Raw genomic sequence first — 21,374 nt, forward strand, 5'->3', positions numbered from 1 at the left:
GCACTCTTGTTGAGGAACTCTGAAATAATTCCTTTTTTTTGTACTTCTCCCTTATGTATTTGAAAGAGAACTGGTTTAATATTGATATTATTGCAGCCTTTGCTCTTAACTTTCCTCTGTACTAGAGAAGTCCTGTGCCTGCTGAGACTCTAAGGAAGTAAAGATTCCTTTGACTCTAAAAAGTCTTTCTTGGGTGTTCTGTGGGCTCCCTATTCATGATCTTGGTAAACATATTTTCAATTCAGTGAATTTTATTGAACATTTTGAGGATTGTGTATACATGTATTCTTTCTTTTATAATGCTTCTGTGTAGTTGAGTAGGGAGAATTGAGCCTTCTAAATCTTCTACTCCTTTACAAATCTGCTGTTTTATGTCAATTTCTTTGGCAAAAAAAAAAGTTGCTTATGTTTTTTCTGGCCAAAGATTCAGTAAGTTTTTTTTTTTTCTTTCTTTTTATTGTTTCTTTGGAAAGGGAATTTCAGTAATCCTGACTTCTTTCTTCTTTAAGTGAAATAGTGCTACCCAATGTAACTTTCTTTAGTGATGAAAATGTTTTATATTCTCCACTTTCCAATACAGCAGCAAATAAATGCACTTAAAAAACACGTTACTACTAAAATGACAGAGGAACTAAAGTTTGATTTTTTTCCAGCTTTTGTATTAGGTTCAGGCAGTATATGTGCAGGTATGTCACATGGATCAATACTGTATGGCTTGGGATTTGTGAACAAATGATTTGGTCTCACCCTGGTAGTGACCATAGTACCAGATACGTAGTTTTTAAATCCTCGCCTGTCTCCTATCCTCCTCCCTCAGTAGGCCCCAGTGTTTATTGTTCCCCACTTTGTGTCCATGTATACTCAAAGTTTAGCACCCACTTATAAGTAAGAACATGCAATTTGATTTTTCTGTTCCTCTGTCAATTTTCCTAAGATAGTGGCCTTCAGATCCATCCATGTTGTCGCAAAGGACATGATTTCATTCTTTCTTATGGTTGCATAGTACTCCATAGTTTCTATGTACCACATTTTCTTTATTCCACTGTTGATGGGCATCTAGGTTGATTCCATGTTTTTGTTATTGTGAACAGTGCTGCGGTGAACATATGTATGCATGTGGTGTCTTTATGGTAGAATGATTTATATTCTTTTTTTTTTTTTTTTGAGACAGAGTCTCACTCTGTCACCCAGGCTGGAGTACAGTGGCACAATCTCAGCTCACTGCAACCTCCACCTCCTAGGTCCAAGCGATTCTTCTGCCTCAGGCTCCTGGAATGATTTATATTCTTTTCAGTATATGCCTAGTAATGGGATTGATGAGTTGAACGGTAGTTCTGTTTTAAGTTATTTGAGAAATCTCCAAACTGCTTTCTACAGTGGCTGAACTAATTTACATCCCCATCAGCAATGTATAAGAATTTCCTTTTTTCCACAACCTCTCCAACAACTGTTATTTTCTGAATTTTTAAAAATACCATTCTGACCGGTGTGAGATAGTATCTCATTGTGGTTTTGATTTGCATTTCTCTATTGATCAGCAATGTTCAGCATTTTTTTCATATGCTTACTGGCCATGTATATATCGTCTTTTGAGAAGTGTGTGTTCATGTCCTTTGCCGAATTTTAATGGGATTGTTTGGTTTTTGCTTGTTGATTGGTTTTAGTTCCTTATAGATTCTGGATATTATATCTTTATCACATGTATAGTTTGCAAATATTTTCTCATTCTGTAGATTGCCTGTTTGCTCTATTGATAGTTTCTTTCACTATCCAGAAGCTCGTTAGTTTAATTAGGTCTCATTTGTCCATTTTTGGTTCTGTTACAATTGCTTTTGGAGTCTTTGTCACAAAATCTTCGCCAAGGTCTATGTCCAGAATGGTATTACCTAGGCTATATTCAATGGTTTTTATAGCTTTAGGTTTTATATTTAAGTCTTTAATAAATCTTGAGTTAAGTTATATGGTAAAAGAACAGGGTCAGTTTTATTCTGCATATGGCTAGCTAGTTATCCCAGCAGCGTTTATTGAATAGGAAATTCTTTCCTCGTTGCTTATTTTTGTAGGGTTTATTGAAGATCTGATAGTTGTAGGTTTGTCACTTTATTTCTGGATTCTCTAGCCTGTTCCATTTGTCTTTGGCTCTGTTTTTATACCAGTACCATGCACTTTGGTTACTGTAGCTTTCTAATATAATTTAAAATCAGGTAATGTGATGTTGCTGGGTTAAGGCTTTGGTATCAGAATGATGCTGGCCTCATAGAATGAGTTAGGGAGGAATCTCTCCTCCTGGAATTTTTTGAATAGTTTCAGTAGTATTGGTACTAGCTTTTCTTCATAAATCTAATAGAATTCAGATGTGACTCCATTTGGTCCAGGGCTTTACTAGTTGGTAGGTTTTTTTAAATTACTTATTCAATTTTGGAACTCTATTGATTTCTTCAGGTATTCAATTTATTCCTGGTTCAATCTTGGGAAGCTGCATATATCCAGGAATTTATCCAATTCTTCTAGGTTTTCTAATTTCTGTGCATGGACCTTTTCATAATAGTTTCTGAAGGTTTTCTGTATTTCTGTGGGGTTGGTGGTAATGTCACTGTATTAGACCATTCTTGCATTGCCATAAAGAACAACCTGAGACTGGGTCATTTATTAAAAAAAAAAGAGGTTTAATTGGCTCATGGCTGCAGGCTTTATACAACGCATGGTGCTGGCATATCCTTGTCTTCCGGTGAAGAGTCTGGGAGCTTGCAGTCAAGGCAGATGGTGAAATGGGAGCAGGCACTTCACAGGGCAAAAGCAGGAGCAAGCAAGAGGTAGAGGTGGGGAGAGGTGCGACACACTTTTAAATGACCAGATTTCACTAGAATTCACTATCAGAAAAGAGTATGCCAACCCCGTGATCCAAGCACCTTCCACTATGTCTCTCCCCCAGCATTGGGGATTACAATTCAAAATAAGAGTTTGGTGGGGACAAATATTCAAACTATATCAGTCACCTTTGTCGTTTCTGATTGTGTTTATTTAGGTTTTCTCTTTTTTTTCCTTATTAGTCTAGCCAGCACTCTATTTATCTTATTTATTCTTTCAAGGAATAAACTTTTAATTTTGTTAATCTTTTGTATGGATTTTCGCATCTCAATGTCATTCAGTTCAGCTCTGACTTTGGTTATTTCTTTTCTTCCGCTAACTTTGGGATTAATTTGCTCTTGTTTTTCTAGTTTGTCCAGATGTAATGTTGGGTTATAAATTTAAGATCTTTCTGATTTTTTGATTAAAGTGTTTGGTGCTATAAACTTTCCTCTTAACACTGCTTTAGCTGTGTCCCAGAGATATTGGTATGTTGTATCCTTGTTTTCATTAGTTTAAAAGAATTTCTTGATTTTTGCCTTAATTTCTTTTTTTTTTTTGCTTTGTTGTGTTGTTCATTTTATGAAATAAGGTATACTATGATTATTTCAAGTCACAACTTTAATTTGTTACTCTTTAGGGCTACCAAAATTTTTATCTAGAATCAATGAAATAAATTGTTATCCTAATAAATACATTAAAAGTAAGAGTGAAAGTACATTTCATTGTTAAATCTCAAGCATTCTTATCATTCAATGCAATGGTTCTGTGGATTAGTTTTGTTTGTGTTTTCATAATTTAACTCATATATAAAGGGATATATACCAGGGCTATGGATTCAGCTGATACAGTTAATTATATAATCTGTATAAGGATATTCTCAATTTATTTTCTGTAGTCATTAAGAAATCTTGAGCCAAATTAACTCCCTTAAGCATTGTTAAAAAGAGAAAACTTTCTAGATCTGCTGTTTCTTGTGAGTCATGAGACTCACCTTCAGCATCTTTGGTCTTTTTATGGTGTTTTGAACATTAACACTATTGTTAGAAGAGTTTTAGATTTACTCCCAAATTGCATATATACTACAGAAAGTTTCCATATATTCAGCACCTAGGTTATTTTATTATTAACATAATATATTAGTAGGGTTCATTGACCATAATTAATAAAGCAATGTTTGCATATAATTATTAATTAAAGTGCATTCATTATTCAGTTTTTCTTAATTTTTGTCTAATGTCCCTTTTCTGATCCAGGATTCCACAAGGATATCATATTACATTTTGTTATCCTGTCTGTATGCTACTATTGGGTGTGATGGTTTCTTAGACTTTCCTTGTTTTTGTTGTTCTTGACAGTTTTGAGAATCATTGTTTAGATATTTTGTAAAGCATCCCTCACTTGAGACTTATCTGATTTTTTTATCATAATTATTTTGGGGTTCTGGGTTCTGAGGAGGAAAATCACAGAAGCAAAGTGCAATTTTTATCACATCATATCAAGGATATATACTATTAACATGAGTTACCACATTTAATGTTGACATTCATCAACTCTCTGAGGTAGTGTTTCCCAGGTTTCTGCTCTCTAAAGTTACTCTTCCCCACTCTATTTCATAGTGTATAATTCTTATCTGGGGCAGTAGTTTGTACATAGGTTTTCAGCTGAAAATACAGATTAGGGTGCATGGCAGCTGAGTGGTTCTTTTACAAACTCAACTGCATGTGAAGTGATTGATTCTGGCATAAGCATTGAATGATTCAATGATCTAAATACATCAAGATCTCAAATGATCCTTTTAAAAGCCTGGTGTACTAAGGATGGAATCTTACAAGGTGAGGAGTCTTTCTCTGTTATGTGAGAGAAGCGTTCCCATTATAATCTGTGAAAATACACTCTAAGCCATATCTTAACCAATTCATAATATACAAACTGAGGTTTTTAATAGTGGTTTCACTTATACAGTAGTTTCAGATATACTTTCCCAATAGCTTGTAAAAGTAAAATATTTAAAAGTAAAATTGATCTTCTGATATTAATTGCTACCTTCAAGCATGTTTAATAATTAGCATTGCTTTAGCAACTCATGCCCCTGGCCCACTGTTCATGTGTTCTTAATTCTTACTTCTAAATAATTTAAACACTAACCAAAATGCTGAGTTTTAGAACACATTAGCTTTTTTTATTAATGAGTAACCTTAAGGACACTTCACACTACTAAAAATGTTCTCTTATATTTCTTGAGTAATCAGTAACAGTTGGTTTATTTCACTTTTAAGAATTTCTAATATTTTTCTTATGACATCTCTCCCTGAAAAGAGGTAGAGATCTTATAATATATTTCTATAGTCAATAAGCTCCAGAGACAAAACGCTAGCAGGTAATGGAGGTGAAACAGCAAGGTCTGATACATAGGTATCTAAGGCTCAACATATATCCAAAAGATAGAAACCCACATCACTGCAGCAGATCAATTTTTGAATAGACTGAGCTGCATTCTAAGATAGTATATTGTCTAGATATTTGTTATAGTGACTTTTATACTGATAGCAGATTTATGAAATGAATTTATTATTAATTTAAGAATTAGACTGTTTAGATTCTTTATAAAGGTAATTTAACATTGAAAAAAGGCATTCTATGGATTACCTGCAAGGCAAGTGCTTATCGAGTTTGCTGGCCAATTTCTTACCAGGTTTAGCTATTTTAGGTTTGAGGGTTATCTTCAAGAGTAGAAGAGCAAGTCATTATAACACCATTAGATTTGGTGTTATTTGCATAGAGCCAAGATGTTTTATAGTTATCTCTAATTAGAAGAGGTGCAGATGCTGCAATATATTAAGCCGAATTTTGAAATCCAAACTGAATGTTCTCTCATTTCTTTCTAACACTACATTAAATATTATAATTTGTTGTTTGTTTTAGAAAAAGAAGATAATAGAATAGGAAAGGAAAATGTGATATAAATCATGAATGTAAAATGTGATTCACATTACAATGGGACAAAATGTAGGTCTTCACTAAATAGACTTACCTAATAAGCAACTCATGGAAATTACAATATAATGATTTTCCTCTCTTATTTATCCTCTAGGTGATGCATTTTTGTGTGTAATTGCACATTTGCACATTACTGAAGGCTGAAATGATTATCTACCTGAAAATTTATACTCTTATTCCTTTCCTGTGTGTGTTTTTGTGTATAATTGTGTGTATACATGTGCACTAGAGAGAAGGGAAGAGAGACACACACACAGAGACAGAGACGGCGGATAGAGGGAGAGAGGGGGAAGGAGATGAAGGGGGGAGAGAGGGAGAGGAAGAGGGGGAGAGAGAGAGAGATTGATTGATTGATTGATTGATTTTTATGGCTAAAAAATTCCTGTGACTAAAAAATCCCAAGAGTGTGTGTTTAATCGCCAAGTACTTGACTTGCAATTATGATTGTAACTGTGCCTTAGATTATTTAGTATAGATCCTATAACTATTATCAAATGCTAGATAAAATATTGATTTTAAGTAATTTAAAATAGCACTGATGATGCTAGAATTTTCTTTTATATGTATAAGATATTCAACATCCATAAATGCCCAACAATTTATTGAACCCACCTTTCTAGCATGCATCATGCTAGATGTGTAGGTGTAAAGGGGAGTATTCTCAACAGCCTCTCCAGGAGTATGCAATGATGGGTGAGGTGACATTAAATTAAAGTCACAAACATAATTCAATTATAAGTGCCCACTACCTTTGGAGGAATAAATGAAAACATTAAAGTACAGATAATAAAACACAGGGTATTGTGAGAGCTGTGACAGAGAAATTAAACTTATCTAGATGGCAAGGTGGGTGATCAGAGAAATGATCCCTGAGGAAATAAAGTTTACATTGAGAAAGTAAAACTATGAGCTAATTAGCCAGGAAAAGGGAAGGCTGGCATGAGTTGCTGGTTTAGATCAAGGTAGAAGAAGTTATTCCCCTAAGGAGGAACATACACTTATGGTCCAAAAATAAAAAATAAAAAGCAATGATTTTTGAAATTAGAAACATACACAAAGGGATAGTCCTGCAAAGTTATAAAATCTTATAAAACCACTACAATCTCTAAAACAAACAAAAAGACTAACAAGACAAAGATAAGTAGATTTTTCTTTTCTTTTTATACTTTAAGTTTTAGGGTACATGTGCACAACATGCAGGTTTGTTACATATGTATACATGTGCCATGTTGGTGTGCTGCACCCATTAACTCGCCATTTAACATTAGGTATATCTCTAATGCTATCCCTCCCCTCTCCCCCCACCCCACAACAGGCCCAGGTGTGTGATGTTCCCTTTCCTGTGTTCATGTGTTCCCATTGTTCAATTCCCACCTATGAGTAAGAACATGCGGTGTTTGGTTTTTTGTCCTTTGATAGTTTGCTGAGAATGATGGTTTCCAGCTTCATCCATGGCCCTACAGAGGACATGAACTCATCATTTTTATGGCTGCATAGTATTCCATGGTGTATATGTGCCACATTTTCTTAATCCAGTCTATCATTGTTGGACATTTGGGTTGGTTCCAAGTCTTTGCTATTGTGAATAGTGCCTCAATAAACATACGTGTGCATGTGTCTTTATAGCAGCATGATTTATAATCCTTTGGGTATATACCCAGTAATGGGATGGCTGGGTCAAATGGTATTTCTAGTTCTAGATCCCTGAGGAATCGCCACACTGACTTCCACAATGGTTGAACTAGTTTACAGTCCCACCAACAGTGTAAAAGTGTTCCTATTTCTCCACATCCTCTCCAGCATCTGTTGTTTCTTTTTAATGATCACCATTCTAACTGGTGTGAGATGGTATCTCATTGTGGTTTTGATTTTCATTTCTCTAATGGCCAGTGATGATGAGCATTTTTTCATGTGTTTTTTGGCTGCATAAATGTCTTCTTTTGAGAAGTGTCTGTTCATATCCTTCGCCCACTTTTTGATGGGGTTGTTTGTTTTTTTCTTGTAAATTTGTTTGAGTTCATTGTAGATTCTGGATATTAGCCCTTTGTCAGATGAGTAGATTGCAAAAATTTTCTCCCATTCTGTAGGTTGTCTGTTCACTGTGATGGTAGTTTGTTTTGCTGTGCAGAAGCTCTTTAGTTTAATTAGATCCCATTTGTCAATTTTGGCTTTTGTTGCCATTGCTTTTGGTGTTTTGGATATGAAGTCCTTGCCCATGCCTATGTCCTGAAGGCATGGCCTAGGTTTTCTTCTAGGGTTTTTATGGTTTGAGGTCTAATGTTCAAGTCTTTAATCCATCTTGAATTGATTTTTGTATAAGGTGTAAGGAAGGGATCCAGTTTCAGCTTTCTACATATGCCTGGACAGTTTTCCCAGCACCATTTATTAAATAGGGAATCCTTTCCCCATTGCTTGTTTTTCTCAGGTTTGTCAAAGATCAGATAGTTGTAGATATGTGGCATTATTTCTGAGGGCTCTGTTCTATTCCATTGATCTGTATCTCTGTGTTGGTACCAGTACCATGCTGTTTTGGTTACTGTAGCCTTATAGTATAGTTTGAAGTCAGGTAGCATGATGCCTCCAGCTTTGTTCTTTTGGCTTAGGATTGACTTGGCAATGTGGGCTCTTTTTTGGTTCTACATGAACTTTAAAGTAGTTTTATCCAATTCTGTGAAGATAGTCATTGGTAGCTTGATGGGGATGGCATTGAATTTATAAATTATCTTGGGCAGTATGGCTATTTTCACAATATTGATTCTTCCTACCCATGAGCATGGAATGTTCTTCCATTTGTTTGTATCCTCTTTTATTTCATTGAGCAGTGGTATGTAGTTCTCCTTGAAGAGGTCCTTCACATCACTTGTAACTTGGATTCCTAGGTATGTTATTCTCTTTGAAGCAATTGTGAATGGGAGTTCACTCATGATTTGGCTCTCTGTTTGTCTGTTATTGGTGTATAAGAATGCTTGTGATTTTTTCACATTGATTTTGTATCCTGAGACTTTGCAGAAGTTGCTTATCAGCTTAAGGAGATTTTGGGCTGAGACAATGGGGTTTTCTAGATATACAATCATGTCGTCTGCAAACAGGGACAATTTGACTTCCTCTTTTCCTAATTGAATACCCTTTATTTCTTTCTCCTGCCTGATTGCACTGGCCAGAACTTCCAATACTATGTTGAATAGGGTGGTGAGAGAGGGCATCCCTGTCTTTTGCCAGTTTTTAAAGGGAATGCTTCCAGTTTTTGCCCATTCAGTATGATATTGGCAGTGGGTTTGTCATAGATAGCTCTTATTATTTTGAGATACGTCCCATCAATACCTAATTTATTGAGAGTTTTTAGCATGAAGTGTTGTTGAATTTTGTCAAAGGCCTTTCCTGCATCTATTGAGATAATCATGTGGTTTTTGTCTTTGGTTCTGTTTATATGCTGGATTACGTTTATTGATTTGCGTATATTGAACCAGCCTTGCATCGCAGGGTTGAAGCCCACTTGATCATGGTGGATAAGCTTTTTGATGTGTTGATGGATTCGGTTTGCTGGTGTTTTATTGAGGATTTTTGCATTGATATTCATCAGGGACATTGGTCTAAAATTCCTTTTTTGTTGTGTCTCTGCCAGAATTTGGTATCAGGATGATGCTGGCCTCATAAAATGAGTTAGGGAGGATTCCCTCTTTTTCTATTGATTGGAATAGTTTGAGAAGGAATGGTACCAGCTCCTCCTTGTACCTCTGGTAGAATTCGGCTGTGAATCCATCTGGTTCTGGACTTTTTTTGGTTGGTAAGCTATTAATTATTGCCTCAATTTCAGAGCCCCTTATTGGTCTATTCAGAGATTCAACTTCTTCCTGGTTTAGTCTTGGGAGGGTGTATGTGTCAAGGAATTTATCCATTTCTTCTAGATTTCCTAGTTTATTTGCATAGAGGTGTTTATAGTATTCTCTGATGGTAGTTTGTATTTCTGTGGGATCGGTGGTGATATCCCCTTTATCAATGTTTATTGTGTCTATTTGATTCTTCTCTCTTTTCTTCTTTATTAGTCTTGCTAGTGGTCTATCAATTTTGTTGATCCTTTCGAAAAACCAGTTCCTGGATTTATTGATTTTTTGAAGGGTTTTTTATGTTTCTTTTTCCTTCAGTTCTGCTCTGATCTTAGTTATTTCTTGGCTTCTGCTAGCTTTTGAATGTGTTTGCTCTTCCTTCTCTAGTTCTTTTAATTGTGATGTTAGGGTGTCAATTTTAGATCTTTCCTGCTTTCTCTTGTGGGCACTTAGTGCTATAAATTTCCCTCTACACACTGGTTTGAATATGTCCCAGAGATTCTGGTATGTTGTGTCTTTGTTCTCATTGGTTTCAAAGAACATCTTTATTTCTGCCTTCATTTCGTTATGTACCCAGTAGTCATTCAGGAGCAGGTTGTTCAGTTTCCATGTAGTTGAGTGGTTTTTAGTGAGTTTCTTAATCCTGAGTTCTAGTTTCATTGCACTGTGGTCTGTGAGACAGTTTGTTATAATTTCTGTTCTTTTACATTTGCTGAGGGGTATTTTACTTCCAATTATGTGGTCGATTTTGGAATAAGTGTGATGTGGTGCTGAGAAGAATGTATTTTCTGTTGATTTGGGGTGGAGAGTTCTGTAGATGTCTATTAGGTCCTCTTGGTGCAGAGCTGAGTTCAATTCCTGGATATCCTTGTTAACTTACTGTCTCGTTGACCTGTCTAATATTGACAGTGGGTTGTTAAAGTCTCCCATTATTACTGTGTGGGAGTCTAAGTCTCTTTGTAGGTCACTAAGGACTTGCTTTATGAATCTGGGTGCTCCTGTATTGGGTGCATATATATTTAGGATAGTTAGCTCTTCTTGTTGAATTGATCCCTTTACCATTATGTAATGGCCTTCTTTGTCTCTTTTGATCTTTGTTGGTTTAAAGTCTGTTTTATCAGAGACTAGGATTGCAACCCCTGCTTTTTTTTGTTTTCCATTTGCTCGGTAGATCTTCCTCCATCCCTTTATTTTGAGCCTATGTGTTTCTCTGCACATGAGATGGCTTTCCTGAATACAGCACAGTGATGGGTCTTGACTCTTTATCCAATTTGCCAGTCTGTGTCTTTTAGTTGGAGCATTTAGCCCATTAACTTTAAAGTTAATATTGTTATGTGTGAATTTGATCCTGTCTTTATGATGTTAGCTGGTTATTTTGCTCGTTAGTTGATGCAGTTTCTTCCTAGCCTGGTTGGTCTTTGAAATTTGGCAATTTTTTGCAGTGGCTGGTAGCGGTTGTTCCTTTCCATATTTAGTGCTTCCTTCAGGATCTCTTTTAGGGCAGGCCTGGTGGTGACAAAATCTCTCAGCATTTCCTTGTCTATAAAGTATTTTATTTCTCCTTCACTTATGAAGCTTAGTTTGGCTGGATATGAAATTCTGGGTTGAAAATTATTTTCTTTGAGAATGTTGAATACGGCCCCCAGTCTCTTGTGTCTTGTAGAGTTTCTGCTGAGAGATCAACTGTTAGTCTGATGGGCTTCCCTTTGTGGGTAACCCGACCTTTCACTCTGGCTGCCTTTAACATTTTTTCCTTCGTTTCAACTTTGGTGAATCTGACTATTATGTGTCTTGGAGTTGCTCTTCTCGAGGAGTATTTTTGTGGTATTCTCTGTATTTCCTGAATCTGAATGTTGGCCTACCTTGTTAGATTGGGGAAGTTCTCCTGGATAATATCCTGCAGAGTGTTTTCCAACTTGGTTCCATTATCCCTGTCACTTTCAGGTACACCAATCACATGTAGATTTGGTCTTTTCACATAGTCCCATATTTCTTGGAGGCTTTGTTCGTTTCTTTTTATTCTTTTTTCTCTAAACTTCTCTTCTCACTTCATTTCTTTCATTTGATCTTCCATCACTGATACCCTTTCTTCCAGTTGATCAAATTGTCTACTGAGGCTTGTGCATTCATCACGTAGTTCTTGTGCTGTGGTTTTCAGCTCCATCAGGTCCTTTAAGGACTTCTCTGCATTGATTATTCTAGTTAGCCATTCATCTAATTTTTTTTCAAGGTTTTTAACTTCTTTGCCGTGGGTTCAGACTTCCTCCTTTGGCTCGGAGTAGTTTGACCGTCTGAAGCCTTCTTCTCTGAACTCGTCAAAGTCATTCTCCATCCAGCTTTATTCTGTTGCTGGTGAGGAGCTGCATTCCTTTGGAGGAGGAGAGGTGCTCTGCTTTTTAGCATTTTCAGTTTTTCTGCTCTGTTTTTTCCCCATCTTTGTGGTTTTATCTACCTTTGGTCTTTGATGATGGTGATGTACAGATGGGGTTTTGGTGTGGATGTCCTTTCTGTATGTTAGTTTTCCTCCTAACAGTCAGGACCCTCAGCTGCAGGTCTGTTGGAGTATGCTGGAGGTCCACTCCAGACCCTGTTTCCTGGGTATCAGCAGTGGAGGTTGCAGAACAGTGGATATTGGTGAACAGCAAATGTTGCTGCCTGATCGTTCCTCTGGAAGTTTTTTCTCAGACGGGTACCTGGCCGTGTGAGGTGTCAGTCTGCCCCTAATTGGGGGTACCTCCCAGTCAGGCTACTCGGCGGTCAGGGACCCATTTGAGGAGGCAGTCTGTCCGTTCTCAGATCTCAAGCTGCATGCTGGGAGAACGACTACTCTCTTCAAAGCTGTCAGACAGGGACATTTAAGTCTGCAGAGGTTTCTGCTGCCTTTTGTTTGGCTATGCCCTGCCCCCAGAGGTGGAGTCTACAGAGGCACGCAGGCCTCCTTGAGCTGTGGTGGGCTCCACCCTGTTCGAGCTTCCTGGCCACTTTGTTTACCTACTCTAGCCTCGGCAATGGTGGGCACCACTCCCCCAGCCTCGCTGCCGCCTTGCAGTTTGATCTCAGACTGCTGTGCTGGCAATGATTGAGGCTCCATGGGTGTAGGACCCTCCAAGCCTGCTGCAGTATACAATCTCCTGGTGTGCTGTTTGCTAAGACCGTTGGAAAAACGCAGTATTAGGGTGGGAGTGACCTGATTTTCCACATGCTGTCTGTCAACCCTTTTCTTGGTTAGGAAAGGGAATTCCCTGACCCCTTCCACTTCCTGGGTGAGTTGATGCCTCGCCCTGCTTTGGCTCACGCTCGGTGCGCTGCACCCACTTTCCTGCACCCACTGTCTGACAAGCCCCAGTGAGATTAACCCGGTACCTCATTTGGAAATGCAGAAATCATTTGTCTTCTGTGTTGCTCACGCTGGGAGCTGTAGACTGGAGCTGTTCCTATTCAGCCATCTTGACTCCACCTGATAAGTAGATTTTTCAGATGTATCATTTGTGCTTTGTAAGGTGCTTTATATGTGATGTGATGTTAAAAGTTTAGTCATGAAATACATTCTTAGTATGTTAATATTAGACCCATTTTTTTTTCCAGAAAGGAAATCTGAACCTAGAAGAGTTAAATTTGTGAGAATCACTCAGATCATAGGTGGCCGAATGGACATTTACACTTAGATCCATCTGACCTCATTAGCTATTTTCTTCTGACTTGATCACTCTTCATTTTTCCCTTTTTCACTTCTTAAGTTGGTAATATTAATTCTGTTTTCTAATTTTTGGCTCAGGAATTCAACACTCCTTACCCTCTGGATTATTTAGTCAATATCTTCTTTCTTCCTACCTGGGACTCACCTACCTGCAATAATCAGGAAAGGATGATGTAAGAAGTCTCCTAGACATTCATTTAAACTGATGTGGTTAACAATTGATAAATAATATATGATTATGAAGAAGCAGGAAAAGCTTTAAAATAATTTAATAAATGAAGGCAATATCACTTTTCCTAGATGCCCATCTTTCTGAGATCATTTCATTTGTTCCAGCGAGGAGTAGTAGTTCTAGAATAGATAATCTTAAGGGTCAAAGATTCATCTCAAGCTTTCTATTTACCACATATTCATCTCAATTTCCTTAAGAAAAAGAAAATGTTAAAAAATATCACAGATAAGGTGATACACCACTGCTTGTGTACTTTTTAGCTTTGCAGGTTGTTGAATGATATGTTCTTTAGTTGAGAAAAGTGAGAAATTCTTCTTTATCTCTGAGATTATTCCACAAAAGTAATCAGTTATTGTTGTAACTGCTACCTGCCCATTAAAGTGAATTTTATTGTCACATTTATCAATCAGAATGATTACTAGTAAGAATGATTAGATAATTGAACCTTTCTATGATTCAGATTTATTTAAAAAATCAAGCCTTATGCTTTTCACTACATGATTTAGAAGCAACAGATATTCTACAGACTCCAAACTAACCAACATGCAATTAAAAACTAATTATTTATAAATTGTTTTATTCCATGTGACGTTACCCACATTGTTTGTGGGAATATAGAAATTGTTTTTTCTTTAGAAGCAATTTAATATACCATATGCTCTTTGATATTGAATTTTCTTTATTCAGAATTGTAAAAAAAAACATGTCAAATCATGTTAGAGGAGAAAACTAGGAGGATGAAATGGAGAAAAATTCTTGTCCATTCAATTTTTCTCAACTTGTATTTGTAAAGAAAGCTCTGGGTTTAAGCTGTTTCCAATAGCACATAAGACTCAGGATTCGCAATTTAACTCTTTTAAGGATATTTCCATATAAAAGTAGAAATGAAGATACCTTCCTATACAGTAGGCTGATTTCAGTCTACACTTCAGACATAAGTTAATTCTCCAAGTCAGTTTAATAATCTATGACCATGAAACAATAAAAAATTGTAAATAATTTTCTCAAGCAAAAACATAACATTAAAATGGTAAGAGCATGTAAGCTTCTAAACAGCATAAACAGCACACATTTTGACATCTTTTTATCACTGAACTTAACTGAAATGACATGACATTATTTTCTTTCTATTTTCTGACTAAGTAGAAAATCAAATAATTGAATATAAATAGGTCCTATCATTGTGCTAGCTAGTTTTCTATATACCTTGACAATATTATAATCTTAAAATCAGGATATGTGATCAGATAATTTCTAATTTATAAATGAATTTATATATATATGGTCTTATAAATTTATAGAATTTAAATAACCTTATGCATTTAATAGAGTGGCTTAAATGAAGAGAATAAAATTCTAGAAATTTAAGACTCTTCCATGAGAGACAATACCTATGCTTGCCATTGTTTTTGTAGAATGATCCCCCAATGAATAAGTTGCAGCCTTTTGTTCAATCTTATTTTAATTTTGTTAGGCAATGGGCCTTGAACCACTTCCCTTGGGAGAAACAGCTTAAATAGATTCTTGCCATTAGAAGGTTTGCTTTAATGTGTTTCCTGCTGGCAAGTGGGCTCCCATTATATTCTGAATCTGGGTCTCACTCACTGATGCCTAATAGTTAGAGGTGATTTCAAGAAAAGATAATTTAGTTGTGGTTAGAGGACAAAAGAAAAACTGCCAAATAGCACATTCAAAAGCAGTTCTCATGAAATTTTTAGAGCAGGCAATTCCAGCCACCAGGCTCCATCAGGTTAATGGAAATGAGGCCCTGATGCATGGAGCAATGTTTTGAAACATGTGCCGTGGAGGTATTGAAAATCTTTTCTTCAGCTATGACAGTAGGTCCAGCTACATTGTTATTTACATAATGCTGCTGATTGACACTCTATAATTATTTCTATATATAGGCCTTGCTTTTTAAAATATTAATGGGATCCATTTCTACTAGACTAATTTCTGACTATAAAACCAGCCAGCCAGTCTGTCTCAAATGTTCATGCTCTTCCTGGAAGCTTCTTTATTTCTTTGAGGATTTCCCATAAATTGGAGCCATCCTTAGAACAAAAGCACAAATAAATATAATGATTAAAATTTCAAAGTAGCTGAGCACTTTCTGTAGGATAAGCACATTTTTAATTGAGCTCAAATTTTTCTAGCAATGATCTGAGAAACGTATGAATCAGTTTTTCTCCTTAAGGAAATGGATTCTCAGCACATTTAGCAAGCATGCTCAGGAAAACACAGCCAGAGCATGGCAAAGCTGAGATATGGTTCTAAAGTCTGAATTTTTTCCATTAGTCACAGGATGTCTTTTTAATAATAAGTTCTTACTTGGGGGAAGCAGAAAACACATAGATGACAACTAGTTCTTCAATTATATTCTATATCATAAAACAACCATCATAAAATAATCTTCATTTTCTTTAAGAATGCAATAGGAAGAATATCAGACACTGAAATTCTGTTAAGCTACTGGAATTTTGGGCTTTCTTTTCTAATCTCCTGTTTCTCATCTATAAGATAGAGACAAATGCATACTTCTCAAAGGTGGTATAAAGTAGATACATGTACTTGTTGATCCAGTGCTTGCCACACAAAATGACCCATCAATTTGAGATGTGGTCTATTCTAGTGATTATAAGTGTAGCACTACTTGGATGTGAATCCTGGTTCTACTACGTTTTAGCTGGATTATCTGTATGCATCTTACTTGGTCTGTGGTGAGAAAAAAATGAGTTTGTAAATGTAAAGTTCATAACAGAGTTCCTGGCCCATTTAAAGGGCTCAAATGGTTAGCTATTAGTAAATGATCATTGTTATTAAATCTAAATGTTTTAAACCTACTCTTTCTTTCTGCTGAACATTTATTTTTTGTAGTGGAGCTTTATATATTTTTAATATGGCTTATGCATTTGTTTCACTTTTCTTTCCTCTATTTCCTTTCAAAAGCTCCTTTGTTTTCTCACAGTAATCTGTTGTGTTTATCATCTATGCAGACGGATTTGAAGATCTTCACTAACAGATCAAAGATAAAGAATTGGCCTTGCTGTGCAGACAGCCTCAGTCTGTAGGGAGCGTAAAACTTTAACAACAGTGATGGAGTCTGTATTGTTTCATTTCTTCTCTCTCTTTTCAGCTAATTTCCAAGCAACTTTTTACTCTCCAAAAAATACATTATCTGTACTTGACAAATTCTCAAAAAGAGGAACCCCCCCACACTATATAAACTAAACTTCATATAAACTTGCTACTGTTTATTTTTTTTAATGGAGGCAGAAAGAGGCTTTTTATCACCCCTGAGACTTCTCAACATCATTAAAAAAAAAACAAAACTCAAGACATGTTTCATCATTTGGCATGCTTCTACTTTCCTTTTCATTTCTTCATATTGGGAGTTTCATCTATGATAGTTTGGCAACTTTTTGCAAAATAAAATATATTTTACCACCTTCATGCGAGACTGACAGAAATTTTAATACTTGCTTCTAGAGAGGAAAATTTTTTCTCTCTTTTTTTCTCATAATAACAGGAATAATTGGAAAATATTTTAATGTAACACATAAACCTCAGTGTTAGCAAAGTCTAATTTTCTATAACACAATACAAACTCTCAATGTGGAGATCCTAATGGAGGCTACTGGCACAAATGTAGGGATCCTCTCCAAACTTATTTTTGCTCCACTAAAGACCTTGGAATTAGATTCCTACACTAATTAGAAGAAGCATCTGGGCCGGTGTGGTGGCTCATGCCTGTAATCCCAGCACTTTGGGAAGCTGAGGCAGGCAGATCACTTGAGGTCAGGAGTTCCAGACCAGCCTGGCCAACATGGTAAAATCTCGTCTGTAGTTTAAAAAAAAAAAAATACAAAAATTAGCCGGGCGTGGTGGCAGATGCCTGTAATACCAGTTACTCGGGAGGCTGAGGCAGGAGTGCATGAACCCGGGAGGTGGAGGTTGCAGTGAGCTAATATCACGCCACCTCACTCCAGCCTGGCAGCCTGGGCAACAACAGAGCTAGATGCTGTCTCAAAAAGAAAAAAAAAAAAAGCATCTGTAGTAAAGCAAAATCGAAACCAAGAAAATGGCACAGTCTGGAGGCAATTTATATGAGTCAAATTCTAATATTGTTTGAAGAAAGAAATTAAACAGTTTTGCCACATTTATGTTGTGGAATAAAATTCTTAGAATATTTTAAAATATCTATCCATTTATAGTCAGGAAATGATTTTTTCACATAAAATTTTAAATTTAAGTTTGCAATTCTGATTTTATCATATTTCTCTAAAGTAAAATATCAAACTTGTTTATTTCCAGGCCATATAGGTGACATACATTACATTTTAGAAGCAGCTCATTAACTATGCTAACAGAAAAGCATCTTTTATTTTTTAACATGCACAATGTTAAAGCTAATCTGCAATGCAGATAGATTCAATAATACAACAACAGCTGTTGTAAAAATACAGCTTGACATCAAAGTCATTCATTGCACTCTTATTTGAATGTTTAAAACAAATTGTAGTTTGGGAGGCAGAAATCAAATATGATTTATTTCATTTACTTTACAAAAGATGGTTATTTAAGGAACTATTCGAGAAATAAAATTATACTTGTCACCTTGAGAAAAGGCTGGGATCCTTGAATTAATTACATTTGGTGCATTTATAGGACTCTCATATAAGATTCATCATGTCGAATATGTTTGCTGCTAGATGTCACTATAGTTTCAATGTTACTCAACCACGGAATAGTTTCTTGGACTGTAAGATGGGAGTTATTGAGTTGGTCATCCTTGTTGTCCAGCATATGATTCACAAATGGAAAAATCTTCAATACTATTTCTATTAAGAAAAAATCATGATACATGCTTAGAGTACACATTAGAGATATAATTTCACTGAAGATTTTCTAATGGCATGTTTTGTGGTGTCAATTATCAGAATGACAGGAAGTAGTGGTGGTAATAGTTGGGGAAAACTCTACAGTTTTGTCTATATTTAAGGCTAGGTAAGAATCTCTCAAAATAATAAAAACAAATATGTTTTACCAGTAGACATACTTGTTTGGTTTTTAAAATATCACAATATGTTTGTTTATTTTATGTATTTAATTTACTATGTATATAAAATGAAATATATTTTTCTCCCAAACTATGTACCATTCCCTGTGGAACTTTCATAAGGTGATTAAATTTGTTACTCTGACATTGTTACTAAAGGCTTTACCAGCTCCTTGCAATTGGAAATCAGCTATATTTCCACTCCTCAACTGAATATAATGTGTTTAGCACTCTAGGGGATAAAAACAGAAATATTGGTGCAGTTGCCGATATTTATGAGGAAAAACTGTTTCTACAAAATAAAAGTTGCACATGTTGCAATACTGCCCAGTGATTTTTACCCATAATCACTGGACTTCATTATCATGTTAAAGAGTATACTACTTACTTATAGGGGAATGAGAAGATTCATTCTGAGTTCATAGCATTGTCTTATTAAAATGTAGCACATCATTTTTATTTAAAGAAAACATTACATAAATATCTTTTATTTAAAGATATTTACGAATATCCATTGATGGCCTCCTTTGTGAACAAAAGGGAATGTTGCATCATAGTTCAAGAAAATATTGCAATTTAAGACAAAATGGTCATGATGACTTATAATTTTCTTGATGAGATCAAGAGCTCTCATTTATTTTAATTTATAGTACAGACCCTGTCAGGATTTTTTTTAACCTGTCACATGAAATATGTTATTAAGTGTTTTATTCATGTAAAATAAAGCAGAAATAGCATCTTCACAATTAGATGAGGTAATATGGCACAGTAATAACCTAAAATGACAGCTCAGTATAATGTGACTTGCTGTGTGGCTAGCTTCAGGGTGTGAACAGCTTCACAGGAAACACAACCCGTGAGTAGGAAGGGTTATATCGTTTTACTAAATTAAGCAGTTGTGAACTTGTAGGTGTTATTTCATTTTTCATGAATTAGTTCTCTGAAAGCAAATGAATGAAATAGGTAAAATTACATCAGTATTTTCATTTTTAATTGAAGGTTTGACCTTCAAAACATATTTTCTAAGCCATTATGTTTAACAATACAAATATACAGATCACAAGGAAGCAAACTTATCTTCATAACTAATTATTTTTAATAGTTATACATTAGAAATATTAAACAACAAATAATTTCCTTATTTGCTAAGGCCTAGGAAGATGTGTTCACAACACTTATCTAAGGGATACAGAAATGCTTTTTAATCCTGCTCTCTGGAATGAGGGGGCTGACCAGAGAAAAAGGCCTCAGATTTGCATCTGGTTCACATGCTACAGAAAGGCAGTATGTGCATGTCAATGCAGGTCCTCAGAAGACCCCATCCACTTGTAAATGCAGTCCAATGAATGATCTGAAATGTGACAGGTCAGTATGTCTACCTCTTGATTTGCCAGAAGCTGGAAAAGCTCTGCATTTATGTTAACATAAAAACAAGCTCATGAGACATAATGTATGGAATCACACTGTTAGCATAGCGCATTCACAACTTCTACTTTGATAGTGATTTTCAAAGATATTTTATTTAAAAAGACTGTTTTTCTCAATATACTCTAAAACACATAGATTTTAACCATATTCTAAAACAGACTTACAATATTCATGTATTGTTTTCCCCTGAGAAGAGTTTTGCCTTGGTTACATTCACTGTAAAAAACAATTTAAAAAGTAGCTATTTAAAAAATTATTCTGGAATGACACTAAGATACATTTTTGCCTCTACTTTTAAGCTATCAAAAACTAAACTGTGTTTATTGAGTTTAATATTATAACAAGTTATTTAAAACAAAAATTACTTTTGAAATTGAACAAAGCAAATGTGATGAATAACACACAAGTCATTCCATAGTTTCAAACATTTTAAAAAACTACTTTAAAGTGCATATGGAACCAAAAATGAGCCCTCATTGCCAAGACAATCCTAAGCCAAAAGATCAAAGGGGGGCATCATGCTAATTGATTTCAAGCTATACTACAAGGCTACAGTAAGTAAAACAGCATGGTACTGGTACCAAAACAGAGATATAGACCAATGGAACAAAACAGTGCCCTAAGAAATAATACCACACATCTACAATCATCTGATCTTTGACAAACCTAACAAAAAAGAAATGGGGAAATGATTGCCTATTTAATAAATGGTGCTGGGAAAACTGGCTAGCCATATGTAGAAAGCTGAAACTGGATCCCTTCCTTACACCTTATACAAAAATCAATTCAAGATGGATTAAAGACTTAAATGTTAGACCTAAAACCATAAAAACCCTAGAAGAAAACCTGGGCAATACGATTCAGGACATAGGCAGGGGCAAGGACTTCAGGACTAAAACACGAAAGCATGGCAACAAAAGCCAAAATAGACAAATGGGATCTAATTAAACTAAAGAGCTTCTGCACAGCAAAAGAAACCACCATCAGAGTGAACAGGCAACCTACAGAACAGGAGAAAATTTTTGCAATCTACCCATCTGACAAAGGGCTAACATCCAAAATCCACAAAGAACTTAAACAAATTTACAAAAAAAAATCAACCCCATCAAAAAGTGGGTGAAGGACATGAACAGACCCTTCTCAAGACATTTATGCAGCCAACAGACACATGAAAAAATGCTCATCATCACTGGCCATCAGAGAAATGCAAATCAAAACCACAATGAGATACCATCTCACACCAGTTAGAATGGCAATCATTAAAAAGTCAGGAAACAATAGGTGCTG

The 21,374-nt window shown here is 35.6% G+C and overlaps 1 long non-coding RNA gene across 1 annotated transcript in view, besides 1 other annotated feature; it reads left to right on the top strand.

Moving 5' to 3' along the window:
• The window catches only part of DISC1FP1 (DISC1 fusion partner 1), a 663,821-nt gene that overhangs the window by 319,247 nt on the left and 323,200 nt on the right, over positions 1–21,374 (top strand). The window lies entirely within an intron of this gene.
• Positions 14,824–15,325: an enhancer, noted in NCBI's record as "NANOG hESC enhancer chr11:90318470-90318971 (GRCh37/hg19 assembly coordinates)". NCBI's record gives its function as "activates a minimal SCP1, AML or CMV promoter by ChIP-STARR-seq in primed H9 embryonic stem cells {active_cell/tissue: H9 hESC(primed)}" and the evidence as "EXISTENCE:reporter gene assay evidence [ECO:0000049][PMID:30033119]".

This window comes from Homo sapiens, chromosome 11, assembly GCF_000001405.40.
Source record: "Homo sapiens chromosome 11, GRCh38.p14 Primary Assembly".
Classification (NCBI taxonomy): Eukaryota; Metazoa; Chordata; class Mammalia; order Primates; family Hominidae; genus Homo; species Homo sapiens.